The sequence below is a fragment of the Homo sapiens genome, chromosome 19, assembly GCF_000001405.40.
Source record: "Homo sapiens chromosome 19, GRCh38.p14 Primary Assembly".
In the NCBI taxonomy this organism is placed as follows: Eukaryota; Metazoa; Chordata; class Mammalia; order Primates; family Hominidae; genus Homo; species Homo sapiens.
In genome coordinates, this window is record NC_000019.10 from 35136669 (window position 1) to 35154678 (window position 18010).

Below are 18010 nucleotides of genomic sequence, written 5' to 3' on the forward strand. Positions count from 1 at the left end.
AAGTTGGAGAGCTGAGTGCCAGGGGCACAGAGGGATCTGAACCCACTCTCATAGGGTGCCCAGCCCAGCAGTCCAGTTCACAAGGAGGAGGATGACAAGGACAATAATAATAGGCCAGGCACGGTGGCTCATTTCTGTAATCCCACATTTTGGCAGGCTGAAGTGGGAGGATCGCTTGGGGCCAGGAGTTCAAGACAAGCCTGGGCAACATAGAGAAACCCCGACTGTACAAAAAATTAAAAAATTAGCCAGGCATGGTGTCGCACGCCCATAGTCCCAGCTACTCAGGAAGCTGAGGTGGGAGAATCACTTGAGCCCATGAGGTTGAGGCTACAGTGAGCTATGATTGTGCCATTGCACTTCAGCCTGGGTGACAGAGCAAGACCCGGTCTCAAACAAACAAACAAAAAATGAAGTTAATCATAAGACAATGTCAAGTTCAGAGACCTCTGAGCCCTGTCCAGGATTATACACGTGATCTTAGTGATTTTTCCATTTTGGAGCATGTGAAAATGAGGCACAGAGCTGCTCAAGTTCACACAACCAGGAGTGCAGTGCCTGGGCCATTCCAGGTTTCCCTGTCACCAGGACCTGTAAACCTGGCCTGCCCATGGGGACGCCAGGTGTGTTGTCCCCGACAAGAGCTCAGGGGAAGGAAAGTGTGGGGTTAAATACATATCTGTGGTTTTGGAATGTGTGAACATGCAAGTGTGTCAGCCTGCGCATCTGTCACCGTGGCCAACCATGTGCCTGTTTGCTCAAGCATAGGGTGTGAACCAGTGTGTGTGTTTCTGCTTTTGTGGGTATGTGTGAGAGCGGCGGGTTGTCCTTGATGGTGTTTCTGCTTGTGTATCTGTGCCCATGGAAATCTGTCTGTGTGTACACAAGCTTGTTGGCCTTCCTATCTTTGGGACCATGTAGGAGTGCTGGCTGCATGTCTGTACCTTTGGGGTTTTTTTGTTTTGTTTTTGTTTTTGAGACAGAGTCTCGCTCTGTTGCCCAGGCTAGAGTGCAGTGGCATGATCTCAGCTCACTGCAAGCTCTGCCTCCCGGGCTCAAGTGACTCTCCTGCCTCAGCCTCCGGAGTAGCCGTGATTACAGGCGCACGCCACCACACCCAGCTAATTTTTGTATATTTTTTTAGTAGAGACGAGCTCTCGTCGGGTTGGCCAGGCTGGTGTTGAACTCCTGGCCTCAAGTGATCCTCCCGCCTTGGCCTCCCAAAGTGCTGGGAGTACAGGTGTGAGCCACCGTACCTGGCCATGTTTGGCCATGCATCTTAGAATGCATTTATGTGCGGTGTGCACATACTTGTGTGTTTCTGTATGGCCATTTGTGGGTGGGTCTTCACATAAACATGCATTTTTGTGGCCAGTTTGTGAGTGTAGATGGTGATGTGGCTATGTCTTTGACTGTATCTCTGTGTGGCCATCCATCTACATGAGCGTGCGTGGGTCTGTGTAGACATAAATGTGCTTGTTCTGGTATTTTGTGACTGGCATAAAAGGTGTTGGCTGTGTGTCCGGGTCTTTGGGTTTCTCTATCAGTGTGTCATTCTGTGTGTGTCTGCTTCTATGGATGTACATACATACATGGTTTTGTCTGGTTTTGTACCTGTATATCTGGGTCTTTGGGATTGTGTGTGGGTGTGTGTGTGTGGTGCATTTCTGGGGATCTCACCACAGCAGATAGCGCACATGCGCGCGCACACACACACACACACACACACCTCCCTCCCGTCCTCTAAAACAGCCCTGTTAAGGACCTCACGGAGCACTGGGATCGGGGGTCAGTGGGCTCCTGGGCAGTCAGGCTGGGTGACCTTCGGCCCTGGCTGGACCCAGTTCCCAGGGGGCAGCCGCCTCAGCCCAAAAGCTCTTGGAGGCGTGTGTGTTTGTGTGTGTGTGTGTTCACAACCCTGTCCTCCACAATCCTCCTAGCCTCTCCAGCCTGCCTGCTGGCTGCCTGCTGCTGCTCTCTCTGAACTGAGAGAGTTAACCAAGCGGGCCAGGGCAGTCTGGGCTGGGGGCCGCCCCCTGGCCCCCCTCCAGCCCCAGCTCCAGTTTCAGCTGCTGGTTGGGGAGGGCATGGGTGGGGTGGGGCTGGGAGGGGAGGCTGCTGGGGGCGGCGCGTCCAGCTCTGGGCCAGGGGGTCCAAAGTGCTCAGCCCCCGGGGCACAGCAGGACGTTTGGGGGCCTTCTTTCAGCAGGGGACAGCCCGATTGGGGTGAGCGTCCCCCACTCCTTCCCTCCAGGCCTCACCCCTGGTCTGGCTGGGCCGCCTATTTTGGGAGCAGGAGTGGCCAGCCCGAGGCTTCCCAGGCAGGCCAACCCAAGAGGGAGGGAGTGTGGTTGAGGCAGTGGGTTCTGCAGGGTGGGATGTGGGTGACTCCTCCCTGCCCTGCTGGTGCGTGTGCACCCTGGCAGGGTGTGGAGTTGGGACACACACGTGTGTAGGGCTGGTTGCGTCACTGCGTGGGGGCACCGGAGGCCCAGAGGAGGAGTATTGGATGCCTGACGGTGTTTACACCCCACGTCCTGCTCCAACCAGCAGTTTGGGGAGAGGTTGTTGTTCATGTCCATTCCGGCCCCACTGTGTGTGTGTGTGTGTGTGTGTGTGTGTGTGTGTGTGTGTATCCCTGCCCCAGCATGTGTTTTCTATCTCTAAGGCCCACTGGGCTGGGCCTCATGTCACTTGCCTGACATCCGATTGTGAAAGATGTCACCCAGAGGCGGGCAGAGGGGCTGTCTTTTCCTTTTCTCGTTGCTGCCCAGGGAGGAGACGGGGTGACCTTTCCCACAGGGGCAGCCTGTGGCGATGTGGCAGCTGGGCCTCACCCCGGCAGGGCTGTGCGTGACCCCCTGAGTGGGGGAAGGCAGGCTGTTGCCATGGTGGCCTGAGCGAGCAGAATTCCTCCAGGGTGAAGTGGGAGATATTTATACCCGGGGTCAGGCCGCGAGCGGGCGGGCGGAGAGGGCAGGGAGCTGGGATTTCGCGGGGCACAGTGAGGCCGGGCATGTAGGCAGGTGGGACTTGGGCGTGCCCTGCTGTCTCCTGCTCTGTGTTTGTGTGAGGCAGCGCCTCCTCTGCCCTGCCAGGGTAGGTCTGGGAATCGGGGGCCTGCTGCGGGAGGTGGAGGCCCAAGGGAGGCCCCCCGGGGACTGTGTGTCTCACCCCCGTCCCTGCTACGTTGTGTTGTTGTGTGATCCCATCGTGGAGGTTGTTTTGGTGACACTGTGTCCCCACGAAGCTGGGGATACCCGTTTCTCTAGCTTGGAGCCACCAAGATAGAGGACAAACACTTCTGTGATTCAGTCCCCAGACTGTCTCTGACTTAATCCCTTGGGTTCAAGCCCTATGTGGGAGAGCAAGGGCACACACTGCCTAATCCGTGGTGTCCCCCCCAGGACAATGGCGTCTCTTGGCCACATCTTGGTTTTCTGTGTGGGTCTCCTCACCATGGCCAAGGCAGGTGAGTGCAGGGGAGGCTGCCCGCTACCCACCTCAGCCCCAGGGGTGGCGGTGGGGACCGAAGAACCAAGTTGGAGACCCCAACCTAGACTAAGTCGGCTGGGGTACCAAGAAGTTTGGGGGTCTCCACGTGGGGTCCAGTCACAGGCTGGTATTTGGGGGAGGGGAGAGGAAGCCCCAGATCAGGCAAAGATGGGGTGGGATGGGGCTGAATCCCCGATGGGATAACTGGGTCACAGACAGCCTGCCGTGAGTCAGGGAGCTGGGGCAGTTAGGTGCCACCTGCCCCATCTGGGACAGTGCAGAGGGGGCAGCTGGGACCCAGAGAGTGTGGGCAGCCTGCCCAGACACCCTCAGACTCTAAGCCCAGCAAGGCAGAGCCTCCAGTGGTCTCCTCATGCCCCTCCCTGCCAGGACCCCAGGAAGCATTCAACCCCTGATTTCTCTCTCTTTCCAGAAAGTCCAAAGGAACACGACCCGTTCACTTACGGTGAGCGGGGGGTCTAATTTTGAGTCCTGGGGGAGAGCCTGGCTTTGCTGGTCCTTTGATTCCCCCTCGCCCTCCCCCAGAGTCCCAGTATTGATATCTCTGTCATTCTCCTTCCCTCTATTTTGTCCTTCCTCTCTGATTCCACCTGTCTGCATCTTTTCCTGTCTGTGTCTATCTGTGTCACTGTCTATGTGATACCTCTCTGGTTCTCTTTCTCTTGCCTGCGTCTGTCTCAGCATCTCGTGGCCCATCCTCTGCTTCTTCCCGTCTTCTCTCCCCCCTGTCCTCCTCCTCCCTGTCCCCTCCCTCCCTTTCCTATACACCCCTTTCCTCTCCCTGGTACCCCACTTTCCTCCTCCCATATCTGCTCCCCCTTAATTATCTTACTTCCCCCCTTCTGCCTGCTGGTCCTTTCTCCCTGTTCCCTCCTTCCCAATTTACCCCTCTCCTATTCTCCCTCCTGTCTTCCCTGCCCTCACCTTCCCTGCTCTGCTGCTCACAGACTACCAGTCCCTGCAGATCGGAGGCCTCGTCATCGCCGGGATCCTCTTCATCCTGGGCATCCTCATCGTGCTGAGTGAGTGCCCCTAGCTCCCGCCCTCTACCCCGCCTCTCCCTGGCCCCACCTCTCTCTGGCCCCGCCTCTCCCTGGCCCCGCCTCTCCCTAGCCCCCCTCTCCCTGGCCCCGCTTCTCCCTGGTCCCGCCCCTCCCTGGCCCCGCCCCGCCCCAACCCCTCCCAGGCCTTGCCCCGCCTACCCTGCCTTGGTTCCCCGGCCCCCGGTCTCGCCTCTAGCCCCGCCCCGTCCCCCAAGCCCCGCCCCTCGCGAGGGCGAGCTGGAGCTACAGCGCCGCTTGGCGCCCGCCGGGAGGGAGCCTCAGCTTCTCCTACCTCTCCACGCCCACAGGCAGAAGATGCCGGTGCAAGTTCAACCAGCAGCAGAGGTAAGACGCCCCTCCCCGCCCTCCTTCGCCCGCTCCTGCTCTGGAGGGCGCCGCGGGTGAGGCGGGGAGTACCCCTGACCCGCAGCCCGATCCCCGTCAGCGACTATGTATTAAGCACCTACTATGTGCCATGGCCCAAGCCTGGCCCTGGGACCAAGCGAGGAAAAAACCTCCCGCCCTTCCTGGCCGAGCTCCCAGCCTAGTGGAGGCGGTGGCCGTGGGTTCCAACAGCCCCACAGATAGAAAAATCACAAAGCGTGATAACACAAAGTGCAGGAAAGAAGAAACGGCGGTGAAATGAGATCATCTCACACGCGGCCCAGTTTAGCTTAGAGTCTTGTTCCTAGCTCTTTGATTCCTCTTCGAATAAAATGTTAAAGCATGGACAATGTATGAATATGTTAGAACAATTATAGATATTATCATAAGTAGTAGCTAATATTTACTGGGTGTGTACCACGTGTTAGATACGGTTTCACTTCCTCTGGGAGGGAGGTGCTGTTATTAACCCCATTTGACAGATGAGGAAACTAAGGCACAGGGAGGTAAAGTCACTTTGTTCAAGATCACTCAAGTGGAAGATGGGGGGTTCTGGGTTTCCAACCCAGGCCATCTCATGGCAGTCTGCCAAGTCCCCATGACTATCCCTCCCCCACCAACTTCACATCCCTGCCCCCAAATCCGCGGAGGTACTCACTGTTAACCAGCTTAGAAGCCCCCTGCCAGCACATAAGCTGCTCCTGGGTGCTCCTCATTTCTGGCGGACCCCGAGCCTGCTCTTCGTCCATATCTGGGCCTAGTTACACCAATCTGGGAAAGGAGGCTTGTACTGGGGGGTTCCTAGAAGGGCAGCCTCTCCCCCTTTCCATCCCGAAATCCCTCTGCCTCTGTCTTCCCAGGACTGGGGAACCCGATGAAGAGGAGGGAACTTTCCGCAGCTCCATCCGCCGTGAGTCTGGGGAGACTGCGGGTATTCTGGGGAGAGGGCTGGTTCCAAGGACCGCTTTTCCCGGCCCTCCCTGGCTGCGTAGAGGGAAGGGCTGGATCTGAAAGCGGAGGGCGGGGAGTTGCCCCGCCGCGGGCCCCACCTGCCCAGGAGCTGGGGATGCCTCTCCAGAATGACCCCCGATCTCCGTGTTCCCCCCAGGTCTGTCCACCCGCAGGCGGTAGAAACACCTGGAGCGATGGAATCCGGCCAGGTGCTGCAGCTCTGACACGGCGGTGGGAGGGAAGGAGGGAGGAAGGAAAGGCGGGAGAGGGAGGGGGCCAAGTGCCAGAGTTGAAGGGCGGCGAGGGGTGGGGCTGGACGTCCCCCCTCGCCTCTCACCCTTTTCACCCTCACAGGACTCCCCTGGCACCTGACATCTCCCACGCTCCACCTGCGCGCCCACCGCCCCCTCCGCCGCCCCTTCCCCAGCCCTGCCCCCGCAGACTCCCCCTGCCGCCAAGACTTCCAATAAAACGTGCGTTCCTCTCGACAGCACTTTGTCGGTCTCGGTCCCTCAGCGCGAAACGCCAGCGCCACTGGGCCCCAGCAGGGGGCGCCCCACCCTAGAGGAAGGGGCGGGGACGACGGTGGTGGGCGGGGGCGGGGGCGGGGGTGGCCTGCACGGGGGCGGGCTCCCCGGGCCCCCATTGGCTGCAGGCCCCCCCACGCCAGGGCTCCCCCCAGCTCCCCCCCACATCGGTCCGTCCTGCTTCCAGCTGCTGCAGCGCGCCTTCGCCGCCAAAGCATCCAGCAGCCCCCTGCTCCGGCCCAGCATGGCGACCCCGACCCAGACCCCCACAAAGGGTGAGCGTCGTTTGGGGAGGGGGTTGCAGGGGGGCTCCGGGATCTGAGAGCCTAGGAGAGAGGGTGTCGGGAGATTCAAGCAATGGTAAGGCAAGGGAGTTGGGGGAGGGAGGTCCGCTCCTCCTGTGGGCGGAAGCCCCTGTAATGCGCCCCCCCGATCGCCCCTCCGGGTCTCTGGGACACCCCCTCCCCGGCAGGCGTCCTGTGCCAGACCTGCGGTTGGAGAGTGGCAGTCCCGGGAGAAGGGATGCTCGGACAGGTCGCTATGGCAACCGGGTGGCTGGTCCCGCACCGTGGTGGTAGCAGACGGGGAAGAGATGAGCTTGCAGGGTGGGAGCGGGTGGGTCTGCGACCAGAGACGTTCTGGAAGATTTCAGGGTCCCTGGGGTGGGCAAGGGAAGGGGAGGAGGTTCATGTCCCTCTTCTTTCCAGTGCTGTCTCCTAGGGTGTCTGTTTCCTGAAACCCTTGACAGCCAGGTTCAGAGGAAAGGAGTGAGAGCTGAAGGAAGAGACAGAGAGAAGGGATATAGCAAGAGACAGACAGGGAGAACCTGGAAGAGACAGAGACCAAGAGAGGCAGGAGATCCAGAGTCACAGATACAAAGACCCAGGAAGACAAATAGATGGACTCAGAGAGATTCCCAGTGGAGGGGAGAGGCTGAGAGCAGTAGACAGAGATGCAGAGAGAGAGAGAAAAAAAAATGAGAGCCTGGGAGATAGTGGGATTGAGACCGCTATGGAGAGAGAAGCAGAGAGACGGAGGGAGAGAGACGGACCCATGGGGAGAGAGGGGAGTAGAAAGAGAAGAAGGGAGCCATGTGGGGTGGGGCCCAAACCACTGCAGTGAGACCCTATGTGTGGGAATGGGGCGATGGGACCCTCCTTCCAGCCCACAGCAGGGGTGTTTTCCAATCCCAGAGGTGCTGTTGGGTATACACCTAGCTGCCCCTACTGCCCCCATCCAGCCACACACTGATTTCCATTCCACACCAATTAACCCAGTTATGCACCCACTTAAACACCCACTTCTACCGTCGCCCCCTAATAGCCCCCACTGCTAATCCTGCTTCTGCAGATGAGCAAGGCACAGACTGCTTCAAGAGGGAGCCAGTGCCCAGCAAGGGTCTCCAGCACTGAGGGCAGGGGACCAGGGGTGCTGAGAAGCCCCTGGCAGTGAAGGGAACCCGAATTCCACTTGGATGGCTCCCTCCCTTCCGCGCTTCCCAGCAGGCGGGGGCTGCTGCACTGAGCCATATCTGCAGAATCCGAAGCAGGGCGGGGGGTGGGGGGGGCTGCAGAGGCTGGAAGCTACCCTAGGGAGGGGGGCAGGGCTGAGGCAGCAGGCCTGGCGGGAGCCCAGGGCTTCTTTTTGCAGAGGTGGTGGTTAGCAGGATCGATGGCAGCAGACGGGCAGAGGTGGGAGGACAGACTCCTCAACCCAACCTCCTCTGCCTCCCCCTTTCCCAGTCACAGCATGACAGGGGACCGCAGGTCTCGGGAAACCCCGGGGGAGGAAAAGCATGTTGTGCATTGCAAGCTGCTTAAGGAAACTAATTAATGAATTGTTGGGGAGCGAGGGGGGAAGAGGGGAGAGTCTCCCTCCACCCTGCCAGAGAACAGGAGGGAGAGTTAGGAGTGAACAGAAGAGGGATGCATGAGCACAGCTGGGTCCGGGTCCCTATCCCTGAAATGGACCCTTAGCTTGGCCAGAAGCCAGTCCTGCAGGGGCAACGGCAGGAGGTGCAAAAGGAGGGGAGAGGGTCAAGATTGAAACCTGCATCTCACACAGGACCTCACAGGGGACCCCACCCAGCCTGGGGTGGCGGGACCTATCACCTCTCTTCACCTCCCAAGATGCCCCAGTTGCCATAGCAACCACCTCCTTCCTGATATCTCTTTGGCAGCTGGCCAGGAGTAGTGCACATTCCTTTGCCTGACTCCTGGCCCCACCCTTAGCCCAGCCACGCCTGAGGGCCCAGGTTGCCGGGGCAGCAGGGACCAGAGGAGGATCTTCCGCATGGAGGAGGATCTTCCACATGGAACACCAGATTCTGGGACAGGGGCTCACCCAGTGGGCTCCCGATAACTTTGGGGAAGGACGGGTGTGTGGAAAACAGACAAGTGAGACAATCCACCTTTTACAGCCTCCTGCAGCCTAGGACTGCCTCATAATCATTCCTTCATTCATTCATCCCAGAAAACTTGAAGAGCCTTTCATAAATGTCAGGATGAACAGCAGTGATGAGTCAAACAAATTTACTCTCTGGTGGGGAAACTTACACAGAGCACAAGGGACCCTGAAGCAGCGTCTCACCATCTTGGCGCTTTTGAGTACTACCGTCACAATTTTTGCTTTATTCAAATATTCCTCACACTGCTATTTATTTAATTTTTTTCCTTAAAAGGATTAGCTTTTTTATTTTTATTTTTTGAGACAAGGTCTCACTCTGTCGCCTAGGCTGGAGTGCAATGGCACGATCACAGCTCACTGCAGCCTCAACATCCTGGGCTCAATCTATCCTCCTGCCTCAGCCTCCCAAGTAGCTGGGACTACAAGGCACTTCTGCTACACCCAGCTAATTTTTGTATTTTTCATAGAGACTGCTTTTGCTATGTTTCCCAGCCTGGTCTCAAACTTCTGGGCTCAAGCAATTCACCCACTTTGGCTTCCCAAAGTGCTTAGGATGACAGGCGTGGGCCACCATGCCCAACCCAGGATTAGCTTTTGAAAACAACGAGCTTTATTTTATAGCACCATCACAACTGGAAAATTAATCTTCTTTTTTTTTTTGAGACAGAGTCTCGCTCTGTCATCCAGGCTGGAGTGCAGTGGCACGATCTTGGCTTACTGCAACCTCTGCCTCCCGGGTTCAAGCAATTCTTCTGCCTCAGCCTCCCAAGTAGCTGGGACTAGCAGCGGCACACCACCACACCCAGCTAATTTTTGTATTGTTAGTACAGATGGGGTTTCACCATATTGGCCAGGCTGGTCTCAAACTCCTGACCTCGTGATCCGCCCACCTTGTATTCCCAAAGTGCTGGGATTACAGGCATGAATCACTGTGCCCAGCTGGAAAATTCATCTTCTTTTTGCCTTAAGTTGAAGGCAGCATAAGAGCAATCTGAAGCAGGTGATTTCGCTTTTCTGGGTCTGGTGTCCCCCTTCCAGGAAATGGGGATGAAGATCGCACCCATATGAAAGAGTTGCTATGAAGATTAAGAGTAAATGCGCTGATATCTGTCAGATGCTTAGCAGGGAGGCTGGAATGGAGTCAGGGCTACCCACTGCTGGTTACATCAATAAATAAAGGAGAAAACCAAATAATGCCACAAAATTCTGCCTAGATTTTATTGCCTGCTGAAGACTTGGAGCCCAAGGCCTGTTTTCTCTTAGGTAAAGGGGGGAGATTAACAAGGGTTGGAAGGTGGTAAAGATACCTCAGCACCAACCTAAGCCATCCTCTTTGAAGACTAGACAGAGACCTGGGAAGGGTAAACTTACACATTGTGTGAACCGTGGTCTTGCTTTGGGGCCACCTCTATCAGTCAGTTTCGGCTACAGCATGCTGTGGTAACAAACAGGTGTTGCTTTGGGGCCACCTCTATCAATCAGTTTCAGCTAGAGTATGCTGTGGTAACAAATAGTACCAAAAGTCTCAGGGGCTTATGACAACCAGGTTCACGTATACGTCCATCACAGGTTGACCAGTCACCAAAGAAAACTAGAGCAGTCACCACTGTGAACATTCAGGCCACCAGGCTAGAAGTGAAACAGAGCTTTGGCCTGGAGGCCTGAATGTTCCTGAATGTTTAAATGCCCCAGCCTGGAAGTGACAATGCACTTCTACTCACCGTTCCTTGGCCAGAATTAGTCACATGGCCCTACCCAACCTCCAGGGAGCCATCCATCTGAGCCTGGAAGGGGGAAGGAGAACACCAACGACATCAGGCATCACCCTGGCACCCCTCACCCTCTCCCCATGTGGCAGACAGTCTGCTGCCAAATTCTGCTCTAGGGAAGGCCAAATATAATAAGAACTGTCAGAGGCATTCGAGAACCATCAGGATGAACTTGTTGAATGGGAAGGATGTTCTGAGCTCTCCTGCAGGGGAACATGATTAGGGTCCAGGAAGGTGGGAAGTGGAGAAAAGTGAATCCAGAGACACACACACATTTTATCCACATGTGAACATTTCTGAAATCATTATGTGTCTTCTAATGGATGGGGACATTTCACGTGGTAGAGTTCCAAACATATTTACACATACACACACACACAGGGAAAACTATTACAAACTCAATTTTGAATCTTAAACTTGATGGTGCCTTAGAAATAAGTAATAATGGGCCAGGCATGGTGGCTCACATCTGTAATCCCAGCACTATGGGAGGCTGAGGCGGGCAGATCATCGGAGGTCAGGAGTTTGAGACCAGCCCAGCCAACATGGTGAAATCCCGTCTGTACTAAAAATACAAAAATTAGCCAGCAGTGGTAGTGCACACCTATAGTCCCGGTCCTTGGGAGGCTGAGGCAGGAGAATTGCTTGAACCTGGGAGATGGAGGTTGTAGTGAGCTGAGATCGCGCCACTGCACTCCAGCCTGGGTGACAGGGCAAGGCCCTGTCTCAAAAAAAGAAAGAAGGAAAGAAAGAAGAAAGAAGGAAAGAAAGAAAGAAAGAAAGAAAGAAAGAAAGAAAGAAAGAAAGAAAGAAAGAAAGAAAGAAAGAAAGAGAGAGAGAAAGAAAGAGGGGAGGGAGGGAGGGAGGGAGGAAAGAAAAAGAAATAAGTAATGTGGGGTATGAATCAGCACAGCTTCCCTGTACTGGATGGAGTATCAGGAGTGAGTGGATGTCAGCAGTAGCAGCAGGTGCCTGTCGGAGCTCTCAGGTGACTGAGAAGTTTTAGGGAGTATTCAGGGGAAGCTGAGACATTCATTGGTTCACCAGTGGAAATGGGGTCTGTTTTAACCTCATGACATCATGTGCAAGTGGGAGTGTGTCTGTGTTTTTCAGGGAATGAGTCCATAGCTTGCATCAGACCTCCATAGGGGTCCAGAACCAGGACTGCCATGTAGTTTGAGAAGATTGTACACTGCATAGAGGATGGTGCTGACTGATGGAGTGAGTAGGGGCTGGAATCCAGCTTGAGCTATGCTCTTCCAGCCTTGCGGCCTGCCATGAGGCCACATCATCCAAACCAAGGGGTCTCTATCTGACTTCCACAAAGAAATGATTAGGCCAGTGGCTCCATCTGGATCCTAAAAAATATTAAGAAATACACTGTTAAGTTTTTTTTTTCTTTCTCTTTTTCTCTGCTTCTTTCCCTCAGCTCCTGAGGAACCTGACCCATTTTACTATGGTGAGTGTTGGATTTGGGGATAGGGCTGGACTGGGGAGTAGCTGCAGGTGCTCACAGATCACTCCGGACATGGCTTCAGCTGTGGCCACACGATACGTGCTGGGCCACTGGCCACGGGACCATATATGTGGGTGTGGTTCACATCAGCTGAGTTCATGGAGGGCAGAACCAGATGGGGGAGTGGGGATGCCTCACACTCTCTCTGAGCCCCCTTCAGGTCTCACCGGGATCTGGGCTGGTGCCTTGGTGTCGCCAGAGAAGCAGATGAAGGAAAACCTTAGAAGCAATGACTCTGAGCCCAGGCTGCCTGGATTTGAATCCTGCCTTATCCACTCACTAGCTGTATGGCCTTGGGCAAGCAACTTTGCCTCTCTGGGCCCTTCTGTAAACAAGGGATAGTAATAGTTCCCACCTATGAGGACTGTGGGAAAGATACCTGACTGGTGGCATTAAATCTCCTCCATGGCACTGAAGCTCAAATAAGCTACCCCAGGCCTGGTAGATCGGGCTCCAGTTTCCCCTCTGAACACCCTCCTCTTGCCCCCACCCCACCCCTTTGCTCATTCATACTTTTTCCCTAGGTGTCAATTTCTCTCCCATCTCAGGACCTTTGCGTGTGCTATGATTCTGCAGTAATGCTTCTCCTTTGTACACGACCGGCTAAGGCTCCCCCTTATTCAGGCCTCAGATCAAACATAGACTACTCTACTGGGATAGGCCCTCCTGACTCCCTGGCAAGGAAGAGCCACACCATACTCAGCTGGTGTCGCATGACTTGTTTTTGAGGGGGATTGTTTCTTTAATGTTTTATCACAATACGAAAGTCAACTCCTTGCTGGTAGAGGCCTGGACCACTACTGGTACAGAGTGAGTGCTCCATAAATTCATATCTCAACAAATACTTAGCGGGCACAGGCTCTATTTCTGGCAATGTTCCAAGCAGCTGGAGACACTGCAATGAACCACACAGACAAGAATTCAAGAATGCAAGAATTCCTGCCCTCCTCCTGGACCTTCCACTCAATGGGAAAGGGACAGATACTCAAGAAAACAAAATATGAAAATTATATATTAGACAAGAATATTATTGGCCAGGTATGGTGGCTCATAACTGTAATGCTAGTGCTTTGGGAGGCTGAGGCAGGAGGATCGCTCAAGTCCAGGAGTTTGAAGCTGCAATGAACTATGATCGTGATTTTTTTTTCTTTTTTTAGACAAAGTCTGACTCTGTGGCTCAGGCTGGAGTGCAGTAGCACAATCTCGGCTCACTGCAACTCCCGCCTCCCAGGTTCAAGTGCTTCTCCTGCCTCAGCCTCCCGAGTAGCTGGGACTACAGGCCCACACCACTGCACCTGGCTAATTTTCATATTTTTAGAAGAGACAGGATTTCACCATGTTGGCCAGGCTGGTCTTGGACTCCTGACCTCAAGTGATCTGCCTGCCTTGGCCTCCCAAAGTGCTGAGATTACAGGCTCATTACAGGCATGAGCCACTGTGCCCAGCTCTACATAAAAAATTTAAAAATTAGCTGGGCATGGTGGTGTGTGCCTGTAGTCTCAGCTACTTGGGAGGCTGAGCAGGGACAATCTCTTGGAGCCCAAGAGGTAGAGGCTGCAGTGAGCCATGATTGCACCACTGCACCCCAGCCTGGGTGACAGAGTGACACTACATCTCTTAAAAAAAAAGACAAGAATATTATGAGGCAAGAATATTAGGCAAGAATAATTCCTATGAAGTAAAATAAAGAAGGGAATGAGATTGGAAAGTGTGGAGGAGAGGATGGAAATTCTGAATAGGACAGCCAGAGGTTTTGCTCACAATCAAATAAAGCCCAGACACTGGTGAGGGAAGGAGCCACGTGGATATTTGGGGGAAGAGCTTTCAGGCTGCAGGAACAGCCAGTGCAAAGGCCTTGGGATAGGATCATGCTGGATATGCCCCAGGAACAGTGGGGAGGCCACTGTGGCTGGAGTAGGATTGATGGGGAGAGTGAGGTGGGGTGAGGTCCAAGAAGGAAAGGAACTGGATCATATGGGACTTTGAGGGCCCTAGTGAGGAATGTGGTTTCTACCTTGAGGGCAATGGGCGGGAGGAGGGCTCTGAGCAGAGGAGAAACCAGATCTGACTCAAATGTTGATGGGTCCTTGTGGCTATCAGAGGTGGGAGTGCAGGCAGGCCAGCAAGACCCTAGAGAAGGCTGCTGCAGAGGCCAGATGGGCGACAATGGTGGACAGAACCAGGGCCAGGGAGGAGGTGGTAGAGGGAGAGTATTATATATATATCCAGGGTGGAAAGCGCAGGGGGAGAGGGCAAGGGAGGAAAGTAGAGGGTACAGAGGGCAAGGGGAGCTAACGGTGCCCAAGCCCACACCCTACATCCTCACATCAACCCCCTGAAGGAGTGTCCAGCACAGTCCACAGCCTCCCTGGGCGATTCTGGGTTCCTGGCTGGGCCACCCAGAGCCAGGACTGGGCTCCAGGTGCAGCCAAGGTGCTGTCCCTGCCTCGATGTCCCCCATTATCTTCCCCAGACTACAACACGGTGCAGACTGTGGGCATGACTCTGGCAACCATCTTGTTCCTGCTGGGTATCCTCATCGTCATCAGTAAGTGCGACCCATTCCTGGGCTGCCTCAGCCTCCGCTTCCTCTGCTGGCTTTCATCCATATCCTACCCGCTATGTCCTGTCTTCTTGTTCTGTCTCTCTCTCCCAACAGGCAAGAAGGTGAAGTGCAGGAAGGCGGACTCCAGGTCTGAGAGGTCTGGCAGCAGTGGGCAAAGAGCGGGAGGGGGCCTCGGGGTGCCTCCCTAGCAGATGGGCAGGATCCACTGGGCCTGCCATGCGTTTTCCCCAAAGCCTATGGTTATTGAACCTCTTTCTACTTTTCTCTCTCATCTCTGCCTCCACAGCCCAACCTGCAAATCCTGTAAGTCTGAGCTTCCCTCTTCAGGTGAGGGTGAGAAACTGTGTGGTTCTGGGAGAGTTTTAGGTGGGGCAGGGAAGGGAACCCTCAGAAGGGAAGTCGCGGGGATGGACTGGACGCAGGGGGCGGAGGGGGGGTGGTGCCTGCAGATATCACAGGACAATTCCCTAGGAAGCTGAGGAAATTCCGCAGATGAAAGATGCTAAACCTGGCTGGGCGCGGTGGCTCATGCCTGTAATTCCAACACTTTGGGAGGCTGAGGCAGGCAGATCACCTGAGGTCAGGAGATCGAGATCAGCCCGGCCAACATGGTGAAACACCGTCTCTGCTAAAAATGCAAAAATTAGCCGGGCATGGTGGTGCGCACCTGTAATCCCAGCTACTCAGGAGGCTGAGGCAAGAGAATCACCTGAACCTGGGAGGTGGAGGTTGCAATGAGCTGAGGTTGTGCCACTCCACTCCAGCCTGGGTGATAGAGTGAGACTGTCAAAAAAAAAAAAAAAAAAAAAGAGGAAGGAAGAAATGAAGGAAGGAAGGGAGGGAGGGAGGGAAAAGAAAGATGATGCTAAACCGTGGGGAGGCTGTGGGATGTGACATGTCCCAGAGTCCACAGAGATTCCCAGAAACAAATGCTCAAGCCTATAAAAGCCAGGACAAGCTGATTTGCCAGGAGAGGAAGACACAGGCCTGTGAAGAGAAGGGCCCCATGTGGGAGGAGCTCTGTCAATCAGGAGGGAGAGAGAGGGAGCACTGAGGAAGACGGGGAGAGGCTTTCCAGACTTGATCGTTCAGCCAGGCAGATCCAGGATGAAATAGCCGAGGAAGCGGGACAGAGGGAGGGAGGGAAGGTTTCTGAATAGTTGCATCAAAATAACAAAAAGAGAGATGAATAGAATGCAGATTTTAGAATTCACATTGGAAAAGAACATATGGGATGCAGGGAATGTGAGGATGGAGAAGAAAGCTGGGAAGAACAGGAGGGGAGAGAGTGGAGAGGACGGAGGTGTTGGGGAGAATGTGGGAAGGAGGAGCCCAGGAAGGAAGGGGAGGAGGATGGGAGGAGGAGGGCGTGGAGGGTGGAGGAGGGAGAATGGGTGTAAGCATGGAAAGTGTAAAGGGAGAGCGAGAGGGATGCAGGGCAAGCATGTCAACGAAAGACTGATCTCTTTGAGGCTGTTAATTTTAATTATGTAAAAATAACTTGACCTGTTTTTAGTGGAAATGCAGCCTTTCTGGAGACTTGTAAAAGAACAGAAATGGGAATTTCTGTGTCTCTTATAAAGTTCTTATAACTAAAAAAAAAAAAAAAAAAAAAAAAAATGCGGGAGGGGGACACGGGTTATTCAATGGTTGAGAAGTATTTGGTGTGGAATTTGTTTCACGTTCCTTTTTTTTTTTTTTTTTTTTTTTTTTTTTGAGACAGAGTCTTGCTGTGTCCTCTGTTGCCCAGGCTGGAGTGCAGTGGCACGATCTCAGCTTATTACAACACTGCAACCTCTGCGTCCTGGGTTCAAGCGATTCTCCTGCCTCAGCCTCCCAAATAGCTGGGACTACAGGCACACACCACCACACCCGGCTAATTTTTATATCTTTAGCAGAGATGGTGGTTCACCATTTTGGCCAGGCTGGTCTCAAACTCCTGACCTCAAACGATCCGCCATCCTCGGCCTCCCAAAGTGCTTGGATTACAGGCGTGAGCCACAGCGCTTGGCCTGTTTCATGTTTATTTAATGAGTTTTAAAACATGAACAAGGCACTTATGGATGCGTGGGGCAGCATGGGGGTTGGCCTTGTCACCTGGGGCACAGCTGAAGACTTTGCACAGGTTTCTGGTCTATCCTAGGTGAATGATGGTCTGCAGCGGGTGGGGAATGGGGGACTTCCCGTTGTATCCAAATGTTCAGGACAGGGAGTGTAGGAAAGGAGTGAGGGTGTAGGAGGAGATTGCAAATGGGAAGGGAGATGGGGACTCCCTTTCTGGCAGGCGGATAGCCCCAAAAGCCCAGGTTGGGTCTGGGGTCGCCAGCCCCGTAGCAGGTGTTTCTCTCCATGACAGCAGCCAGGAGGTGTCCCCAAGGGAACAAGACATTAGAGTGTGGGAGGCAAGACAGCTCCTCAGTGTTAGCTCTGGGGTGACAGTCCCTGGGGTCTGGCTTCCATGGTGCCGGGGAATGGAGAGCCAACGAGCTGTGGGGAGGGAGGCAGTTTCCACCTTTCTAGTGGCTCACGCACCCCCTCTCTCCCCAGCCCCTGGTGGCGGCGGCGTGTAACACCTTCCCGAGGAAACTCCGCTGCCGACCCTGCCTGAGCGCGGGAGCCTGAGGACCGGGTGGAGGCGGTGGGGACCCAGCCGCGCGCCGGGAGCGCTCCCCGGAATGAGCCGCCCCACCCACCCCAAGGCTGGAGCCGCTGCACCCTGCTGTCCCTCTCCAGGCCTTGGCAATGACGATCCCCCAAAGAGCCCGTCTGCACCCCAGACCCAGGGCCTCAGGCCTCCAGCTCCTGGGATCCGGGAGTCCATCCCGGCCCAGCACCCCCAGCATCCCCGTGTATGGCCCCCCTGCACCTCCTTGTCTCATCCCCGAAGATCCGTCCCCCTGGCCCCTCAGTGTCCATGTCTTGAGCTTAATAAATGTGCATTTGGTTTTTTCCTCTGTTCTGTCTGTGTGTTCTCATCTGTGGGGCACGGTGTGGGTAGGGGTGCAGAACTGAACCTGGGGTAGCTCTCCCCTGCGTGCCCGGAGTCGCCCCCTCTTCATTCTCCTCCCCCAGTGCCCCGAGATGCCCCCCTTCAATCCCTTCTCCTTCCTCAACACCTCCGGATTTGTCCTTTCCCTTCCTCCAGCGACCCCAGAATAGAGCCCTCCCGTTTCTCCCCCTGCTCTCTCAGAGGCGTCCACTCACCCTAGACCTGCCTGCCCCATCCCCGTTCCCACCCTCTCCCACCACTATGCCCTCACCCCTGCCCCCCGTCGCCCTCAGCGATTCCCCCTCCTGCTCCCACCCCGGGCTCTGAAGCCAGGAAACCCAAG

General features: G+C 55.0%; 2 protein-coding genes across 9 annotated transcripts, besides 9 other annotated features; both read left to right on the forward strand.

Annotated features, from left to right (window-relative positions):
* The first annotated feature begins 519 nt into the window (after window positions 1-519).
* FXYD1 (FXYD domain containing ion transport regulator 1) lies at window positions 520-6441 on the forward strand. Of its 8 annotated transcripts, none has more exons than XM_017026874.3 (8): window positions 520-623; window positions 3408-3472; window positions 3929-3961; window positions 4464-4538; window positions 4868-4904; window positions 5804-5853; window positions 6052-6103; window positions 6249-6441. In XM_017026874.3, the coding sequence occupies exons 2-7, from the start codon at window positions 3412-3414 to the stop codon at window positions 6072-6074; spliced, it is 279 nt and encodes a 92-aa protein (XP_016882363.1). In that variant the 5' UTR covers window positions 520-623; window positions 3408-3411; the 3' UTR covers window positions 6075-6103; window positions 6249-6441. The 8 variants fall into 8 exon arrangements, with proteins under 8 accessions (XP_016882363.1, NP_068702.1, XP_047294894.1 ...); NM_021902.4 differs by lacking the exon at window positions 520-623 and adding an exon at window positions 2156-2226; NM_001278717.2 differs by lacking the exon at window positions 520-623 and adding an exon at window positions 2467-2564.
* Window positions 4468-4597: a silencer, noted in NCBI's record as "silent region_10515". NCBI's record gives its function as "represses an Ori minimal core promoter by ATAC-STARR-seq in GM12878 lymphoblastoid cells {active_cell/tissue: GM12878}" and the evidence as "EXISTENCE:reporter gene assay evidence [ECO:0000049][PMID:35858748]".
* Window positions 4468-5124: a biological region, named in NCBI's record as "H3K4me1 hESC enhancer GRCh37_chr19:35632134-35632696".
* Window positions 4562-5124: an enhancer, noted in NCBI's record as "H3K4me1 hESC enhancer chr19:35632134-35632696 (GRCh37/hg19 assembly coordinates)". NCBI's record gives its function as "activates a minimal SCP1, AML or CMV promoter by ChIP-STARR-seq in naive H9 embryonic stem cells {active_cell/tissue: H9 hESC(naive)}" and the evidence as "EXISTENCE:reporter gene assay evidence [ECO:0000049][PMID:30033119]".
* Window positions 4708-4927: a silencer, noted in NCBI's record as "silent region_10516". NCBI's record gives its function as "represses an Ori minimal core promoter by ATAC-STARR-seq in GM12878 lymphoblastoid cells {active_cell/tissue: GM12878}" and the evidence as "EXISTENCE:reporter gene assay evidence [ECO:0000049][PMID:35858748]".
* Window positions 6248-6808: an enhancer, noted in NCBI's record as "H3K27ac-H3K4me1 hESC enhancer chr19:35633820-35634380 (GRCh37/hg19 assembly coordinates)". NCBI's record gives its function as "activates a minimal SCP1, AML or CMV promoter by ChIP-STARR-seq in naive H9 embryonic stem cells {active_cell/tissue: H9 hESC(naive)}" and the evidence as "EXISTENCE:reporter gene assay evidence [ECO:0000049][PMID:30033119]".
* Window positions 6587-17634, forward strand: FXYD7 (FXYD domain containing ion transport regulator 7). Its single transcript, NM_022006.2, has 6 exons — window positions 6587-6696; window positions 12026-12055; window positions 14586-14660; window positions 14772-14814; window positions 14965-15005; window positions 17226-17634. The coding sequence occupies exons 1-6, from the start codon at window positions 6666-6668 to the stop codon at window positions 17246-17248; spliced, it is 243 nt and encodes an 80-aa protein (NP_071289.1). The 5' UTR covers window positions 6587-6665; the 3' UTR covers window positions 17249-17634.
* Window positions 6809-7370: an enhancer, noted in NCBI's record as "H3K4me1 hESC enhancer chr19:35634381-35634942 (GRCh37/hg19 assembly coordinates)". NCBI's record gives its function as "activates a minimal SCP1, AML or CMV promoter by ChIP-STARR-seq in naive H9 embryonic stem cells {active_cell/tissue: H9 hESC(naive)}" and the evidence as "EXISTENCE:reporter gene assay evidence [ECO:0000049][PMID:30033119]".
* Window positions 14436-14835: a silencer, noted in NCBI's record as "fragment chr19:35642007-35642406 (GRCh37/hg19 assembly coordinates)". NCBI's record gives its function as "represses an EF-1alpha promoter that drives an FKBP-Casp9 reporter gene in an ReSE screen in K562 erythroleukemia cells {active_cell/tissue: K562}" and the evidence as "EXISTENCE:reporter gene assay evidence [ECO:0000049][PMID:32094911]".
* Window positions 15534-16085: an enhancer, noted in NCBI's record as "OCT4-NANOG-H3K4me1 hESC enhancer chr19:35643105-35643656 (GRCh37/hg19 assembly coordinates)". NCBI's record gives its function as "activates a minimal SCP1, AML or CMV promoter by ChIP-STARR-seq in naive H9 embryonic stem cells {active_cell/tissue: H9 hESC(naive)}" and the evidence as "EXISTENCE:reporter gene assay evidence [ECO:0000049][PMID:30033119]".
* Window positions 17035-17899: an enhancer, noted in NCBI's record as "H3K27ac-H3K4me1 hESC enhancer chr19:35644606-35645470 (GRCh37/hg19 assembly coordinates)". NCBI's record gives its function as "activates a minimal SCP1, AML or CMV promoter by ChIP-STARR-seq in naive H9 embryonic stem cells {active_cell/tissue: H9 hESC(naive)}" and the evidence as "EXISTENCE:reporter gene assay evidence [ECO:0000049][PMID:30033119]".

Coding starts and splice junctions, on each gene's coding strand:
- FXYD1 (XM_017026875.3), top strand. CDS start 3,358: ATGTGGGAGAGCAAGGGCACACACTGCCTAATCCGTGGTGTCCCCCCC. Junction 3,473..3,928: donor CCTCACCATGGCCAAGGCAG/GTGAGTGCAGGG, acceptor CTCTCTTTCCAG/AAAGTCCAAAGGAACACGAC. Junction 4,539..4,867: donor GGGCATCCTCATCGTGCTGA/GTGAGTGCCCCT, acceptor CCACGCCCACAG/GCAGAAGATGCCGGTGCAAG.
- FXYD7 (NM_022006.2), top strand. CDS start 6,666: ATGGCGACCCCGACCCAGACCCCCACAAAGG. Junction 6,697..12,025: donor GACCCAGACCCCCACAAAGG/GTGAGCGTCGTT, acceptor TCTTTCCCTCAG/CTCCTGAGGAACCTGACCCA. Junction 14,661..14,771: donor GGGTATCCTCATCGTCATCA/GTAAGTGCGACC, acceptor CTCTCCCAACAG/GCAAGAAGGTGAAGTGCAGG.